The sequence below is a fragment of the Homo sapiens genome, chromosome 9, assembly GCF_000001405.40.
Source record: "Homo sapiens chromosome 9, GRCh38.p14 Primary Assembly".
Taxonomy (NCBI): domain Eukaryota; kingdom Metazoa; phylum Chordata; class Mammalia; order Primates; family Hominidae; genus Homo; species Homo sapiens.
The window spans coordinates 74139611-74158413 of record NC_000009.12 but is presented as its reverse complement, the minus strand read 5'-3'; the positions used below and the strand labels follow the sequence as shown (position 1 = coordinate 74158413).

Here is an 18803-nt window from a genome sequence, read left to right as displayed (position 1 = left end):
GACAGAGGCCGGGCGCGGTGGCTCACGCCTGTAATCCTAGCACTTTGGGAGGCCGAGGCGGGCGGATCACGAGGTCAGGAGATCGAGACCATCCTGGCTAACACGGTGAAACCCCGTCTCTACTAAAAATACAAAAAATTAGCCGGGCGTGGTAGCGGGCGCCTGTAGTCCCAGCTAGTCGGGAGGCTGAGGCAGGAGAATGGCGTGAACCCGGGAGGCGGAGCTTGCAGTGAGCCGAGATCGCGCCACTGCACTCCAGCCTGGGCGACAGAGCGAGACTCCGTCTCAAAAAAAAAAAAAAAAAAAAAGAAGGACAGAAAAACAAATAGCATTTTTTAAACCATAGATATCACTTTACTATTCAAAATGGGAAATTTTTAAATAAGATAAAATTAATCAACTCACCTAATGCTAATAAAGTTATTAGAGATTGTTAATTTACTTATGAAAAAATATCTATTTTTTCCATCAACTTATATTTATGTCTCATTTATTAATGCATTATATTGAAGAGTGACTTATGATGAAGACTTAAGTCCTCCCTGTCAAGTGTTAAATAAGATTCTAAAACAATTTATTACTACCTCATGAAATACCCAAATGTCCCTTCAAAAGCAAAGTCATAAATACAAGTTAAACACAAATAACCCAGGGAAGATCCCATAGGAATGTATATTAAATAATTAGAAAGAATAATCAAGGAGTACCAAAAAATAAAAGTTGATAGCATATAAATATCAGTGATCAAAAAGAAGGACAAATGTCTTTGATAAATAAGCTTTACAACCAAAGTGGTCTCTTAAAAATGCTGCTTCTATCTTGTCAACACCAAGAGAAAGGCTGCCATGCTGCAGGATTTTTTCATACAGGAGGGAGGCAAATCACTACAGCAGGTCCAAAAGCATAGGTACAGTCTTGTGTTCCTCTTAAATCCCATCACATAGATTGACTTCTTTTTGCTTAGGGTAGTTCTGCTTTTAACATCTTCATGGAGTCATCTGACTTTTACCTTGAGTGCTCTTTCTCATCATAGAAGGACTCAAGAGAATGACATCATAAAATATTTGTGCTTGGAAATATCTTGGAGATCATTTAAATCCTTAATATATAGCCAAGGAAGTTAAAACTCAGAGAGACTGGGTGTTCTTCCAAGGTCATACTAATCCTTGGTGGCAGAACTGAATCATTTGACTTGAAATTTAGCCTCCCCCCGAACCCACCACACTTCTACTAAAAAGCAATAGGTTCACTCTGAGAATTTCTGTGATCACACATTATTTATAGTCTACTCAGACTACAAAATTTGCTAGGAAATGTGTCTTATTAGTAATATATTCTTCAGCCTTGCCAATTTTATTCCTTTACTTTCTCTGCTGTATCCACTCTCCCTCCCCACATTCCTACTTGCTGGGCCCTATTCCATATGGGATACTTGGCTTTTTAGCCCCAGACTTATCAACCTTAACTCTTTCTTTCATAGATCTTACATTATTTTTTGACAACATCATTCTTATAGATCTCAGGAGGCATTTCCAAAACAGAGTAAAGATGGACATCATCCAAGAATTCAATGCTAGTGGGACTAGTATGCAGTTCCTCTGGATAGTGGTAGAGTGCTTTACTGAAATAGTCACTGGTAGTAAATACATGTTGGAAGGTTTCCAGTAAAGTTTTTAGTTAGGCAAAGGCTTACATTAGATAACTAACTGTGCCATTTCACAATGTTAAAATTCTATGGTATATAAGTGTACTTTGGGGTTTTCTGTAAAATATTAAAATAGGATCATTATTCTAAATGCATTTAAATCATAACTGAATAAAGGCTTATGTAATTGAAGAACTAATCAGATCATGTAAATCAGATTGATGGGCATCAGCTGGGTCCTGTGCGTCCAGCTAGGGAAGTCTGGCTAGTGTGAGGACTGCTGGGATCTGAGAAGCCTGTTGTGCCCAATGGGCTAACCAATCAGGAAAACTTGCAGAGGACAATGGGTTTCTGATGTCCAACTAAAATCATTGCTCTAAACATGTTTCTCTAGCTGTGGGTCTTTCAACAAGCGGATATGTTCTAAATCTCAGTAACACTGCTTCTGGTATTGGGATCAATCTTTTCAGAAAAACTAAAAAATATATAAATTTTATACGTCTACTTAGAACACATTTGAAAGCTAGTCAGAGAGAAATATATAGAAGACAAAAATGAGACAGAGATAAGTCTGTCTTTAAGGATCACTTTTCCCTTGAAGGAGTTTTCTGATTCCAAGCTGATTCCAGGCTGAGAATCTAAGAAAAGCAATGCTTTTGATAGCCTTAGATATTTAGAGGACAGAAACTGAAAAGAACTATTTTTTAAAATAAATTAATTATTTAGCATTTACTATGTGTTAGTTGCCATGTAAAGCAAGTATGCACTTGCACACATGCACACACACACACACACACACACAAATTCCCCAGAAAAATACAAAACTAAAGGCTTTCAAAATACCCCAAATGGCTGATTATGATGTCCTACAGTCATTTTCCAAAAATTGTTACTGAGTAATTCCTGAAACATTTCTTAGTTATCATGATGGAAGACAAAATTATTCTTTAGTAGGACCAGAATACAAATTAGCCTGGGACCCAGAATAATAATCATTATACTTATTTATTAAATGATTTATTTAAAAATGTAAGGAATGTTCCACTTCAGTTATCAGTAATAGGAAATGAGATATTGCCCTTGACCTCAGAAGCAAAACCAACTGGGATGACACAAAATTTTCTTGAAAAATTCCAGTAGTCTTGTATAGCTCAACATTATTATTATCTAACAGATCATTGGTGTTAAACATAGACACACTTTATATTTAGAATAAAAATTGTTTGGGGCATGGCATAAAAGGAACACTGTAGCCATATTACTAAAACTTTAGTTTACAAAATCAATTTTTTTTGTCAATTATTATGTATATCTTGCTTTCTCTCTTCAACAGTTTTTACTAGTAATTTTCTTTGTCTTTTCTTGGAAAATAAAATTTTTGCCAATTAAAAATGTGATTCTTCTTTGACTTCTGGCTTCAAGTGATCCTCTCATGACAGTCTTTCAAAGTGCCATGATTACAGGTGTGAGGCACTAATCTAGCACCTAAAAGAACTAGAAAAACAAGAGCAAACTAAACTCAAAGCCAACAAAAAAAAGAAAATAACTAAAATCAGAGCAGAACAAAATAAAACTAAAACACTAAAAGCATACAGTGGATCAACTAAATGAAAAGATTTTTCTTTGAAAGGATAAAAAAGATTGATAGACTGTCAGCTAGATTTAAAAAGAAAAAAAGAGAGGATCCAAATAAACTGAATCAGAAATGACAAAAGGTTGCATCACAACTGATACCACAGAAATACAAAAGATCCTCAGAGACTACTATGAACATGACTGTGCACACAAACTAAAAAATCTAGAGGAACTGGATAAATTCTAAACTTCCCAAGATTGAACCAAAAAGAACCAGAAATCCCGAACAGACCAATAATGTGCAATGAAGTTGAATCACTAATAAAAAACCTAATAACCAAAAAAAGTCTTGCACCGGACAGATTCATAGCCAAATTCCACCCAATATACGAAGAAGACCTGGTACCAACTTTTCTGGAACTATTCCAAAAAATCAAGGAGAAAGGACTCTTCCCTAACTCATTCTACTAAACCAATATCATCCTGATTCCAGAATCTGACAAAAACACAATAAAAAAGAAAACTTCAGTCCAATATCCCTGATAAATGTAAATGCAAAAATCCTTAACAAAATACTAGCAAACCGAATTGAGCAGCACATAAAAAAAGTTAATTCATCATGATCAAATTAGCTTTATTCCTAGGATGCAAGGATGGTTCAACATATGCAAATCAATACATGTGATTCACCCCATACACAGAATTAAAAACAAAAAGCATATGATCATTTCAATAGATGCAGAAAAAGCACTTGATGAAATCCAACATTGCTTTATGATAAAAAAAAAACCCTCAATAATCTAGGCATTAAAGAAACATACTTCAAAATAGTAACAGCTATTTATGACAAACCCACAGCCAACATCGTACTGAATGGGCAAGAGCTGGAGCATTCCTGCTAAGTACTGGACTAAGACAAGGATGCTCTCTCTCACTACTCTTATTCAACATAGAACTGGAAATCTGGGACAGAGCATCAGGCAAAAGAAAGAAATAAAAGGCATCCAAGTAGGAAAAAAAGAGGAAGTCAAATTATCTCTCTTTGCTGATGATTCTATAGCTAGAAAGCCCTAAAGACTCTGCCAAAAGACTCCTAGACTAATAAACAACTTCAGCAAAGTCTCAGAATACAAAATCAGCATACGAAAATCAGTAGCATTTCTATACATCAATAACACTCAAGCTGATAAACAAATTAAGAATTCAATCCAATTTACAATAGCCAGACACACAAAAATAAAATACTTAATAATATATCTAACCAAGAAGGTAAAAAATCTGTACAAAAAAAATGACAAAACACTTCTGAAAGAAATCATAGACAACACAACCAAATGAAAAAAAAAATTCCATGCTCATGGATTGAAAGAATCAGTATTATTTAAATGTCCATAGTGCCCAAAGTAATCTACAGATTCAATGCTATTCCTATCAAATTACCAATGCCATTTATCACAGAATTAGAAAAACCATTCTAGAATTCATATGGAACAACAACAACAACAACAACAACAAAAAGCTGGAATAGCCAAAGAAATCCTAAGCAAAAAGAGTAAAGCCAGAGGCATCACATTACCTGACTTCAAACTATGCGACAAAGCTACAGTAACCAAAATGCATGCTACTGGTACAAAAATAGACACAGAGATGAATGGAACAAAATACAGACCCCTCAGATAAAGCTGCATTTCTACAACCAACTGATCTTCAACAATTTCAACAAAAATAAACAATGGGTAAAGGATACCCTTTTCGACAAATGGTGCTGGGAAAACTTGCTAACCATATTCAGAACAATAAAACTGGACCCCTATCTCTCACCATATACAAACATTAACTCAATTGGATTAAAGAGTTACATGTAACACCTTAAACTATAAAAATCCTAGAAGAAAATTAGAAAATACTCTTAGACATCAGCCTAAGCAAAAAATTTATGTTGCGGACTCCGAAAGCAAATGCAACAAAATAAAAAAAATGGACAAATGTTACTTAATTAAACTAAAGAGTTTCTGCACAGCAAAAGACAGAGTAAACAGACAATCTATAGAATGGGAGAAAATATTTGCAAACTATGCATCTGACAAAGAATTAATATTCAAAATCTATAAGGAACTTAAATCAACAAGAAAAAATACATAAATAATCCCTCTTAAAAATAGGCAGAGGACATAAACTGACACTTCTCAAAAGAAGATGTACAAGTGGCCAAACACATAAAAAAATGCTCAAGACCGCTAATCATCAGAGAGATGCAAACCAAAACCACAGTGAGATACCATTTCACATCAGTAGAATGGCTGTTATCAAAAAGTCAAAAAATAACAGATGTTGATGAAGTTGTGAAGAAAGGAGACCATTTTTACAGTGCTGGAAGGGAATGTAAATTAGTTCACCTCCTGTGGAAAGCAGTTTGGAGATTTCTCAAAGAACTAAAAAGAGAATTACCATTTGACCCAGCAATCCCATTACTGGGTATATACTGAAAGGAAAATAAATTGTTCTACCAAAAAGACACATGCCCCTGTATGTTTTTCACAGCTCTATTTGCAATAGCAAAGATGTAGAATCAACCTAGGTGTCCCTCAACTGCAGACTAGATAAAGAAAATATGGTAGCTATACACCATGGAATACTATGTAGCCATAAAAGAATGAGATCATATCCTTTGCAGGAACATGGATGAAGCTGGAGGTCATATCCATTAGCAAACTAATGGAGAAACAGAACACCAAATACAGCATGTACTCACGTATAAGTGGGATCTAAACGATGAGGATGCATGAACACATGGGAGGAGAGAGGAGAGAGAGGATCAGGAAAAATAACTAATGAGTATTAGGCTTAATACCTGGGTGATGAAATAATCTGTACAATGAACTCCATGACATAAGTTTACATATATAACAAGCCTGTATATATACCCTTGATCTTAAAATTAAAAAAAAAAACATTGAGACTACCTATAATAAGGAGATTGATTTTGAAAGATATTTTGAAATTTATTAACTATGCACTTCTCAAGAGATTGTGTCTTCAGATTCAAAAATCAGTCTCTACTTGAACTATTTACCGTTTCACCATTAACAATTAATGCTTAATACATATAAATTAGATATGTAATTGACTATATCCAATTATCCAATAACTATCCAATTATTTTATTGAAATTCCAACTGAAATACTGGAATTCCAACTAAAATCGCTGACATTCTTATTAGCTTTCTTTCCTTCCTTTCTTCCCTTCTAAGCATAGTTCCTGATATTAGTCAGAATAAAATATTGCTTTCAAATGATTATCTATGTAATAGTTGAATAAATGTAACCCTGTCATACTAGTTCTGCTCTAATGTGAGAGTGGGGCTCAGCACTTCTATTAAAAAAATACTCTATTAGGAACTAAAGAAAAAATAGTTATTTTACTAAAGATTTCATAGGGGAAAAGAAGAAAGGGAGTTTTATTGCACCACTCATAATATTTTACCTTCCCCAAACTAGAAAATTTTTATCCATCATTTGAATGATTATTTCTCTTACTCAAATGCCACCAAACACCTATTCTTTTCCAGTCCCTCCTCCTCCAACTTCTCTAGTGTTAAATATCCCATCCTGAATCCTTTTAGGTTTCACCATTTCTTATTCAAGAAAATTTAATGACCTTGACTTCTCTAATTTTATATTCACATATCAATCAATGTTATCTTCACAATGAAGCAATATGTTAAAATTGTTCTTAGCCAAAAAAGATCGCCTCTAGATATCAGAATCTACTTGTAGTAGGTAGATTGAGGAAATATACACATATTTCCCCCCTGTAGGTATATGTATTTCTTTAACAACTTTTTTTCTGGCAAACAAATTACAGAAAATGAAGAAATTTAAAATATTCTAGTTTAAATGTGAATAAAGCATCAAATATTTAATTTCTCTCATTCCAAACTCTGCAGCTACTAAAGTGTAAAGAAGTATGTATGTACCATAAATATTAGAAAGTTCATACTTCTCAATCTATTCTAGGAAGATCATGTGTAAGTAAATGTGAAGAAACAGAGAGGAAGAAGGTGAACCTTAGTTTTTGTACGTTTTTAACATTTTTTCTTTTTAAAAAGACTATGTCTCAGTTAAAGAATAGTTGTGAGAAACAAACAAAATAATGGTCGATGCTTGAGCACATATGGAAATGTAACTCTAAGGACTTTTCTTAATAGAACTGGATTCATGTATTACATACAGTCATAAAGATTTATTTACAGATGGTTTTTGAAAGCCTATTGCTACTTTTCTAAGGAAGAGTATTTTGTAAGTGCCCATTAAAGTTAGCCAAATTGAACTGAAGTGTGGTTGGCCTAGAAGCAATCACAAAGACTCTAACTCAGTTGTCAAGCACATTTGAAGAAGATCTATGGGTTTTCTGTTTGACTTTAGCCTCCTCATTGATCAATTCCAGGCAAAGATAACATCTCTTATCATCCCTTCATCTCTATAAGGCATATTTCCATGAGAAAAACAATTCTTCATTCTTAAAAAGTATGGAATGGACCATTTTGCTTGCCACTTGAAAAATGCCCAAACATGGCAGACCATCTGCAGATGACAGTCCCCCTCTATTTCTAACCATGTGTAGTTTGACAATGACTTAGCATTAAGGAGGAGTGCCATTTTAAGTAAGCATCAGCATATATATTGAGTAATGATTTCACTACAGCTGCACTTCACAATTTTGATGTAGTCAGTGTGTTGTCTTTTATTTTCATGGAAAACCAATGAAAAATAGTCAGCTTCGGTTATTGTGTGGTTCAACACAGGACTCTATCTCTCTGGAATATCATTTTCCCTGTAGACTTAACCGCTTTTGATCTACCCCACTGACAACCTAGGTTTTAATTTTTGATTAATAGTACACCAAGAAGAATTAAGGTGTTTCCACAGCCAATTGATAATTTTATTACCAAAGTATTTTAAAAATAGTATTGTGCTTCAGTGATCATCCTGTTTCTACCTCCACCCCCATGGAGCAGAAGCACTTAAATAAGGAAAATAAAGCTTGTATTGAAAACTTTTTGTTTGCAAAGCACTGTTAGATGCTTTGTATAGATCATTTGATTTTGTAAAAAAAAAAAAAAACAAAAAAAAACCCCAAAAAAAACCTGCATTCTCATCTCTTGTTTACAGATGTTGAAAAAAAAGACTAAGAGAGATTAACTTACTCAAGCTGATACAAATACCAAAGTGATGATTTTAAAGTGCATGAAATTTTCACTTGGCCATTAAAAACTGGCTTTCTTTGTAAAACATTGCCTGAAAATGTTATGCTTTTATATTCTGTCTGATATACTATATACTCTCCAATAAAGCAGGGAGGCAAAGCATTTTTGAGTGTCTACTCTATGGCAAGCATGATCTTGAGTACAACTCATTAGGCAAATGCACTCCAGTCACCTATCTTAGTGGCAGGAACTACCTTAGTCATTTTGATATCTATCTTCCATTGTATCATTGAGTCCTTAGGCAGCTCCAAGGCAAGAATTATTCTCACCATTACAGAGGCGAAGAAACTAGTCAGATAAATGAATTAACCAACACAATTTCCTTGTGCTAGTAAATGGCAATATCTGAATTCACACTTAGATGGTAATGCCCACTGCAACCTGTGTTCTTTCCATCACCCAGACTCCCCCTTCTCAAGACAATTGAAGTCCACGACATCTCCTGGACATAAATGAATATGGTTCTCTTGTGTGCTGACAGACAGTGCAACAGTATTGCCTCTGGATGTGAAAAACTTATAAAAGAGGAGTCTTTTTATTCTTTGGACTCTTTTCTTTACTACAGGCCCCATGTCTGGAATGCCATTGAACTTGAATTTGCCAGGGGAAGATTTCTGACTCTCACAAAGGCCACCTGAGCCCTTGCTTGGAGCTACTTGTATGCTTTTGGCTGAGGACAGTTATCCCTATTATGAGAAGACCATACTCACCAATGAAGATGTACCATAATGTGGAGAGATGCAGGCAGCAGCGGAGGAGCAAGGAGACTTGCCTAGCTAGCATAGGTGCTAGAAAGATCTAGCAAATGAATTTACAAAGGTTCAACACATTTCATCTCCACACCCAGGCTAATGTGTTTAGCAATATTTCATCTCTTGAATTAGAATAGTGGAGGAAATCAATGTTCTGACCTGGTGACTTATCAAGATAGAGGAGAGAGAGGCAATGGGAGCAGTCCATCCCAAGTGCAGGCAATAAGAGACTGCATTGTGTATTAAAAATTTAAAACCAAAAATAAACCTGATTCAAAAAATCAGTTTGCTTTTTACTTACCCTGCACCAGCAATTCTAGACAATGGGATTGATAGAATGTTTCCTCATCAGAACAGACCACTCCCACCTTTCACTTGTTAAACCGCTGGAGAGGCAGACTTGTCTTTCTCTGAACCCAGCTGAAAACACCATTCAAACCATAGCCCTTCCATAGGCCTGGGGTGAAAAACCCTGGTTTAGAATTTAGGGAGTATTCATTGTGTATTGTTGCTACTGTCTCCTTTGAACTCTGTACATCAAAGGATTCCTGCAAATGTATCTGTTACTAAAACAGCCCGTGGTAAATCGGATCCTAACTGTAATAAGCAACTCTCATTCTTCAACTGCATTGAAAAGTGCGTTATAGACACCTGACACTTTACAGTGAACCTGACTTTCACATTCATTATCTCATTTTGTCCTCATAATGTCCCTGGCAGCTCAGAAGAGGAAATGCTATGAAACTGGCACACTGACTAAGCAGGACATATGTAGGATAATCAGCAAGTTCATTCCATTCTCACACCAACCATCTGAACACGCTCTTAAGGGCTGGTTCCTCTCCAGCCTCTAGATGAAACCTAGAGCAGGTCTCACAGATTTCCTTGTCTCTCATAGATTTCTAAAAGTCCGATTACTTTTAGTCATAATATGGGTTCACTTGTCAAGTTCTGTGTCATAATCAAAACCTTGAAACTTCCCAAATTAAAGCAGGAAATGAGTACTGGAAAAGATGAAAATGACTCATTTTCCCACCCAAATTCCCACTCTAGAGTGTATGCAATTTGTTGGCTCATGCCATTTCCTTTGTTGAAGAAGAAAGAGTTGAGGAAACAGAAAAGGGATTACATTCCTGGCCAGGTACCCATCTAGTTGTGGTTTCCTTTGGTCATGGCAGATGCTTAAAGTTTGTGCTTTCTTTTATAGGGCACTTTCTTAGGTGTTTCAGATTTACTCTGTATTAGTCAGAGTTCTCCAGAGAAACAGAACCAAAAGGTTATATGTAGATATAGATAAATAAGATTTTTAAAATTTAAATTAAATGTTGTAATTCCAATTTTTTACACTGGAATTGGCTCATGCAATTATGAAGGATGAGAATTCCCATGATCTGATGTCTGGTGGTGTAATTCAGTCTGAGACTAAAGGCATCCGAAGGGGCAGTGGAGGTACTAGTGTAAGTCCCAGGGTCCTAAAGCCCAAGAACCAGGAGCTCTGATGCCTGAAGGCAGGAGAAAATGCATGTCGCAAGTCAAGAAGAGAGATAATTTTCTCTTTCTCTGCCTTTTGTTCCATTCAAACCCTCAACAGGCCCATTGGAATGGATGATCCCTGCCACATTGGCGAGGGTAGATCTCCTCTCTCAGTCTACGGATGCAAGTAGACAAATATACCTGAAAATATTTTACCAGCAATGTGGGCATCCCTTAGCTCAGCCAAGTTGGCACATAAAATTTATGATCACATCCTTGAGTTTAGAAAATTAACACCAGCAAATCACTTAAAGTAGGCAAACACTTCTACTCCAGTTGATTAATTATTATTCCTTCTTTTATCTAGGGCTTTACTATATACATCCAGACATCCTTTTTGGTTGAGTTCTAAAGAGGCTAATAACTAGGTCACTTTGACCCATCATCAACCCTGTTTTCATTTAGCTGCTTGAACAATTCTAGCTACAGCCCTTTGCCCTTTTGATTTATTAGGCAGAGACATATACCAGTCCACAGCACGCCACAAACCATAAGACACACATATCACAGCTACTATTTAGTCTTCTCGAAACTTTGGGGTGAAACTGAAGTATCCTATCTTACTTTCCATGAGAGTAGAGAAAATCCTCTCATATTTAGAATTTCCCTTAAGGAAATCCTCTCTCTAATTTTCAACTATCCTGTGGTGGCCAACTTTAATCCTTTTATACCCTAAAGTCATTGGTAAAGATTGCGCAAAGGCAGAAGTGTCGCAAATCTGGGTTGTCTCTACTACGTTGCAAGGTTCATCTAGATGTTTTAGCATCTCATTTTGAAAGCTAGGAGTGCTTGACCCCTCTATAGTCTCAACATTAACCAAGCCTGGGAGAAAAATCTATTTTAAGATGTGGTGACAAATATTCACATTTATCCTCCATACCCCTACTTTACAAGGCCACTGAGGGTTCATAGTTTAAGGTTTCTGTGTTTCTGGATTTCTTGGAGATCAGAATAACAGGATTTCTGTGTTAGCTTACTTATTATTTTAGAGGAATATTTTTAATCTCACACTATATTCTCATTGAAACTGTAACAATGTGAGCCAGAAGTTAAAGACTGCACGGCACTTTGAGGAAGGAGAGAGCTATAGTTCCGGTGTCATGGAGCATATTTCCTCACAATAAAGTTGGCTGTCTAATTTCCCAAGCTAACGGGAGCTATGATGCATGTATACTTGCCTGCTTTTGAGAGTGCTATGCGTCAGTCACTTTAGATATGGGTTCTAAAGATAGACAGATAGATGATAGATGTATCACAGCTTCATTTGATTAGAGTCCTTGCATTATGAGTACTTAATTTATTACTTCATAAAGCTCTCTGACATGACTGAATTGTGGAAGGCAGCTTGCACCAGAAATAATCTCTGCCAGTTTGGTGTTCGGCCACTTCTCTTTTCAGAGTTGCCAGAAAAGACTAGCAATGCATGGGCATACGTGATTATTCACTCTAAATGCTTATATTCTCAAAAATGAATGACCCATTAGGCAAAGCCTGGAATTAAAAGGGAGCCCATCAAAATAATGCAAACCACGCTGGAAGGCTAAGATGTGCGCCTCTCCTGATTTCCTTAACGGAATGTGGTCTAACAAGCTCTTGTATTTTTAACTTACAAAAATAAAAGAAAAAACAAGGGAAAAAGACTTCTGCTGAAAAGTAAAGTTTAAGTAAAAGAAAGTCTAATAAGAAAGAAATAAGCACAAAACTAGAAAGTATATAGTGCAAATGCATTTTCTTGTGCACATAGCTTTCTACTACAGGAGCATATTAAAATTAGTATTCAGATCTATGGGATAGAGATTCTATTATTAAAGCAACTGAAGAGTTTAATATTATAAATATGTATGACTTTTTGAAACTGTAAGAAATATATTCTGCTCAAAGTTCTACTAATGCTGAATATTTTAATGAAACTTAATGCGTTTTTATACAAGTGGTATAAATTATCCACTTTAAAATTAGATAAAAACGATTTGAGAAATAATTATGACTATGTGTTCATTAGATTGGAGTTGGAGGGCTGCTGGATAAGGGCAGAGGGTCAAATCCTTCATCTGCCTCCAGGCACTCAATTCCATGACAATGCCCCTAAGCATATTATGGCAATTGAATCTCAATATTTAGAGGATTCTAATTTATTTCCACTCCTCCTTCACAAAACTGAGTCATTCATGGGAACTACTTGTTTAAAAAAAAAGTGTAAATTTTTTCTTCTGCTTGGCCAGGGAGCCTATCTGGCCTGCTACTAGTCTCTGCTCTCCAGAGAAGATCAATCAGTACCTGGCCTTTTCTAGATGATAGCAAATATTCTGATTGTAATATGTACTTAATAGAGGCATCGCTTTATCCTTGCATTGAGGTTAATCACAAACAACCCTGCTTTTAAATTGCACTTAGACATATTTGTTTTAAGATGCTATTTCTCTTCTGAATGTCTCTTTTTCTCTCTTACTGTCCTTATTTTTGTACACCTACTCTGTCTTCTCTCTGCCATGTCAATGTCTTGATGCCAATGTCAGTGAAGCATTTGTCATATAAACTAGAAAATGTTTATGTTCAGCACAGGCTCATTTGTATAGTTGTACTATATTTGCCACTACAGTAAATACAGTTCTTGTGATGTATAATGGTGTTACAGTCAATTGCAAACAGCATATACATGAGTGGTCTCATAAGATTATAATGAAGCTACCCTATACAGGTGTACCATTTTTTATATTTTATGCTGTATTTTTACTATACTTTTTTATGTTTAGATATGCAAAAATTTACATTGGGTTACAATGTCCTACAGTATTGAGTACAGTAACATGCTGTACAGGTTTGTAACCTAGAACAATAGGCTATACCGTACTGCTTCGGTGTGTAGTAGGCTAGACCTTCTAGGTTTGTGGAAATATGCTCTATGATGTTCATATACAGACAAAATCACCCAATCACGCATTTCTCAGAATGTATCCCATGGCTAAGCAATGCATGACTATATATTATCTATCTAATTAAAAAAACACAGTTCACACACTATTTGGATAAGAGTTTATAGATCTAAAATAATACAGGTGTGCATTTTTAAGGAAAATCATACAGTCTTGACACTGCCATATTTTGTATGAAAAACACTATGTTTTTAAAAACAGTCATTCTAAAAAGACTATTGACTACAGAGAAATCTAAGTTGAGCATTTTCTAAGCTATGATACCCATCTAAGTGAAAGTAAAGATGGGAGAAGATGTCTATGGAAATAACTTGGGTATATTGCATGAAGCTGAGATTTTTGGTATGAATGATCCCATCACCCAGGTACCAAGCATAGCAGCCAAGAGGTTTTCAACTCTTGTCTTCTACTTTCCCTCCCTTCTCTAGTAGTTCCCAGTGTCTATTGGTACCATCTTCATGTCCATGAGTACCCAATGCTTAGCTCCCACTTATAAGTCAGAACACAAGGTATTTATGTTCTGTCCCATAGCCTAACTTGACTACTCTCCTCCCTGACAATAACAGGTTAGGTTTCTCTGGGGATATATGTCTTTCTGTGCATGTTAGAATATCAGAATCTGTGTTGGGGACAGGTGGGAGGGGAAGAATGTGCAAGTCACTTAATAATTTGGAAACAACTCCCCAGAAGATTTTGATACAACTCTTCCATTACATCTTGTCTATAAATTTAGGTTTTGTATTAGGAAAATTGATACAAAAACTCTGTGTTGGCTACAGCACAAAGAAAACTATGGCTAAGCAACTGGAAATGGGAATGGGGAAGGGAGATGGGAGAAGAGGATTCTTGCCACATTCTGTCCACTCTTAAGCCCTTGGCTTCAATGTTTTCTTCTAATGTATAGGATCTTTTAGATCTAACAAGGATTAGTTCCCCTCTAAGTATAAGATTTCTTTCACTTAAATTTGTTTCAGTTTTGAAGGACTCCTAGTGTAGACTCAGCATCTGGTCTCCACTATGTTTTTGAATTGAATAAAAAATACATACACTTTAGACCATAGACATTATTATTATTATAATTATCTTGGCTTTAAAGATTTAAAATAGAAAAATAAGGGCTGCCTGAATTTAAAAATACATGTCCTTTGTAGACACTTTCTTGACTTCAGCATTTAAGAAATGCTTGTCTTTTTATTTATACCACCTAAAGAGCAAATGTAATGACGGTGATTGAGAAGAAACGGAGTCTCACTCTGTCGGCCAGGCTGGAGTGCAGTGGCGTGATCTCGGCTCACTGCAACCTCTGCCTCCAAGGTTCAAGCAATTCTCCTGCCTCAGCCTCCTGAGTAGCTGGGACTACAGGCGCCTGCCACCATGCCCAGGTAGTTTTTGCATTTTTAGTAGAGACGGTTTCACCGTGTTGGCCAAGATGATCTCTATCTCCTGACCTTGTGATCCACCTGTCTCGGCCTCCCAAAGTGCTGGGATTGTAGGTGTAAGCCACTGCACCAGGCAACATTATCTCTTTAATTTGCATAATAGCCTAGGGTAGAATGCTTCATTTGTCCCACATACCACCTCCTGCCCTTTTTTTTTTTTAGCTGAGAAATCTAAAGTTCACAGGGTTAAGAGACTTTCCTAAGGCTATTCCCCTAGTAAGTGGCAAAAAGTAAAAATCAGGTCTTTTGACGTAAAACCAAGTTTTAGTCACCCTTAAAATATTTTAACTTGGACTTTATGAATGTACAACAAAACTATCATTGTACTACCAAATCTTTTTTTTTTAATTTTTTTTTTATTATACTTTAAGTTTTAGGGCCATGTGCATAACGTGCAGGTTTGTTACATATGTGTACATGTGCCATGTTGGTGTGCTGCACCCATTAACTCATCATTTACATTAGGTATATCTCCTAATGCTATCCCTCCCCGCTCCCCCCACTCCACAACAGGCCCCGGTGTGTGATGTTCCCCTTCCTGTGTCCATGTGTTCTCATTGTTCAATTCCCACCTATGAGTGAGAACATGCAGTGTTTGGGTTTTTGTCCTTGCGATAGTTTGCTGATAATGATGGTTCCCAGCTTCATCCATGTCCCTACAAAGGACATGAACTCATCATTTTTTACAGCTGCATAGTATTCCATGGTGTATATATGCCACATTTTCTTAATCCAGTCTATCATTGTTGGACATTTGGGTTGGTTCCAAGTCTTTGCTGTTGTGAATAGTGCCGCTGTAAACATACGTGTGCATGTGTCTTTATAGCAGCATGATTTATAATCCTTTGGGTATATACCCAGTAATGGGATGGCTGGGTCAAATGGTATTTCTAGTTGTAGATCCCTGAGGAATTGCCACACTGACTTCCACAATGGTTGAACTAGTTTACAGTCCCATCAACAGTGTAAAAGTGTTCCTATTTCTCCACATCCTCTCCAGCACCTGTTGTTTCCTGACTTTTTAATGATTGCCATTCTAACTGGTGTGAGATGTTATCTCATTGTGGTTTTGATTTGCATTTATCTGATGGCCGGTGATGATAAGCATTTTTTCATGTGTCTTTTGGGTGCATAAATGTCTTCTTTTGAGAAGTGTCTGTTCATATCCTTTGCCCACTTTTTGATGGGGTTGTTTGTTTTTTTCTTGTAAATTTGTTTGAGTTCTTTGTAGATTCTGGATATTAGCCCTTTGTCAGATGAGTAGATTGCAAAAATGTTCTCCCATTCTGTAGGTTCCCTGTTCACTCTGACGGTAGTTTCTTTTGCTGTGCAGAAGCTCTTTAGTTTAATTAGATCCCATTTGTCAATTTTGGCTTTTGTTGCCACTGCTTTTGGTGTTTTAGACATGAAGTCCTTGCCCATGCCTATGTCCTGAATGGTATTGCCTAGGTTTTCTTCTAGGGTTTTTATGGTTTTAGGTCTAACATTAAAGTCTTTAATCCATCTTGAATTAATTTTTGTATAAGGTGTAAGGAAGGGATCCAGTTTCAGCTTTCTACATATGGCTAGCCAGTTTTCCCAGCACCATTTATTAAACAGGGAATCCTTTCCTCATTTCTCGTTTTTGTCAGGTTTGTCAAAGATCAGATAGTTGTAGATGTGTGGCATTATTTCTGAGGGCTTTGTTCTGTTCCATTGGTCTAAATCTCTGTTTTGGTACCAGTACCATGCTGTTTTGGTTACCATAGCCTTGTAGTATAGTTTGAAGTCGGTAGTTTGAAGTCAGGAACAAAGCCTGTAGTATAGTTTGAAGTCAGGAACAAAGCCTCCAGCTTTGTTCTTTTGGCTTAGGATTGACTTGGAAATGCAGGCTCTTTTTTGGTTCCATATGAACTTTAAAGTAGTTTTTTCCGGTTCTGTGAAGAAAGTCATTGGTAGCTTGATGGGGATGGCATTGAATCTATAAATTACCTTGGGCAGTATGGCCATTTTCATGATATTGATTCTTCCTACCCATGAGCATGGAATGTTCTTCCATTTGTTTGTATCCTCTTTTATTTCATTGAGCAGTGGTTTGTAGTTCTACTTGAAGAGGTCCTTCATATCCCTTGTAAGTTGGATTCCTAGGTATTTTATTCTCTTTAAAGCAATTGTGAATGGGAGTTCATTCATCATTTGGCTCTCTGTTTGTCTATTATTGGTGTATAAGAATGCTTGTGAGTTTTGCACATTGATTTTGTATCCTCAGACTTTGCCGAAATTGCTTATCAGCTTAAGGAGATTTTGGGCTGAGACGATGGGGTTTTCTAGATATACAATCATGTCATCAAATCTTAGTAAATGCCATTGTCTCTTATTTCTCTGATCATCCTTTGGGAACTTTAGGCACAATCTGTCTCTGTTTGTCTGTCTCTTGCCCTCTCTCCTTTTTTCTCTCATCTTCTCATTTTGGGTTACTGGATAACAGTGGTCCGAGAAGTTACATATGTTTCATGGGACTTTAACATCTCTGTAACATTGTTGCAAAGACAGCACATGATAAAAGTTTGTTTTTTCAATTCCAACGAACATGTTTGGATATGTATATGATTGCCATTTAAATAGCAAAAATATATGCAATAACCTATACAAAACTTCTGTAAAGAAAATGCTATTGACAGCTGTAATAATGCCACTAACTTTTGTTTCCTCCTCTATTACTTCTCATAAAAGTTTCCAAGGCCTCTCATATTCCAAGACTTTTGCTCAGTAAAGCTAAACATCACCTTGCCTATAAAGCATAAGTACTTGAAAGAAAATCCATGCTGCCAAAGAAGAAGAAGCAGTAACCCATACTTTCTTTATTTCAACCATTTCAAAAATAATCAGGTTCACAGCTGAGCAATGACCTTTCCAAGAGAAAAGTGGTGTGATGACAGATCAGGTGATTTGACAATGAGGTGCTAATGGCTTAGAGTTATTTTCACGTTCTCTATTGCTAGAAAGATCCTGTTCAGAATTCAAAATCAGCTATATGTTCAAACTGCAGCCTGTGGCAAGGAGACATACACTTGGCCTAAGACAGTGCAGTGTTTGAAAGTAGAGCGGACCTTGAAATCTGCTGCTTTACTACTTAAAATTATTCATCTTGAAAGGAACCTCAAAGAAGATACAGCCAGCATTTATCAAAGTGGAGTCTCTAATTTCAAGAATTCACAAAAATCAAGATTCTTGGGCTATGCTCCAGACCCATTTAATCTGAATTTCTGGGGTTTGGCCCTGAGAAAATGATTTTTAAAGAAACTCCACAGGATTCTGATTCATACTAATGTTTGTGAATCAATATTCTAGATCATCCTTCACTTTGTATGAATTGGTGATTTATTGTTGCCACAAATATGCTGGTTGTTTGAGTGACCAAAGTAAAGATAATTTTCAGTTAGCAGGCTGATTTCCCTCCATTTGAGTTTATGATACAATATCTGCATTAATTTAATGAATATATGTATGCTTGATTTGCTACAACTGAAAAAAAACATTTTTGGCAAGGGAAAATCTTTATCCCGTAACAACAACTTTTGCGAAAATCTGCGTTTTTTTCTCATACTATATAATGCAAGAACTTATCTTCATTTAAGAGCTTGATTGGAACAACTCTAGGTTGTAACATCACGAAAACA

The 18803-nt window shown here is 36.2% G+C and overlaps 1 long non-coding RNA gene across 2 annotated transcripts in view, besides 1 other annotated feature; it reads left to right on the top strand.

Moving 5' to 3' along the window:
• The window catches only part of LOC101927329 (uncharacterized), a 154205-nt gene that overhangs the window by 116973 nt on the left and 18429 nt on the right, over positions 1–18803 (top strand). The window contains exon 5 of one of the 2 annotated variants that reach the window (XR_929946.3): positions 14916–15000. The exons of the other annotated variant lie outside the window; for it this stretch is intronic. This is a non-coding gene — a long non-coding RNA (uncharacterized LOC101927329). Of the gene's footprint in view, positions 1–14915; positions 15001–18803 lie in introns of those variants that run through there. 2 annotated transcript variants of the gene reach the window in all.
• Positions 12260–12429: an enhancer, noted in NCBI's record as "experimental_108123 CRE fragment used in MPRA reporter constructs". NCBI's record gives its function as "activates a minimal promoter by MPRAs in K562 erythroleukemia cells, with activity observed for both the introgressed and non-introgressed 9:76760986 variant alleles {active_cell/tissue: K562}" and the evidence as "EXISTENCE:reporter gene assay evidence [ECO:0000049][PMID:34662402]".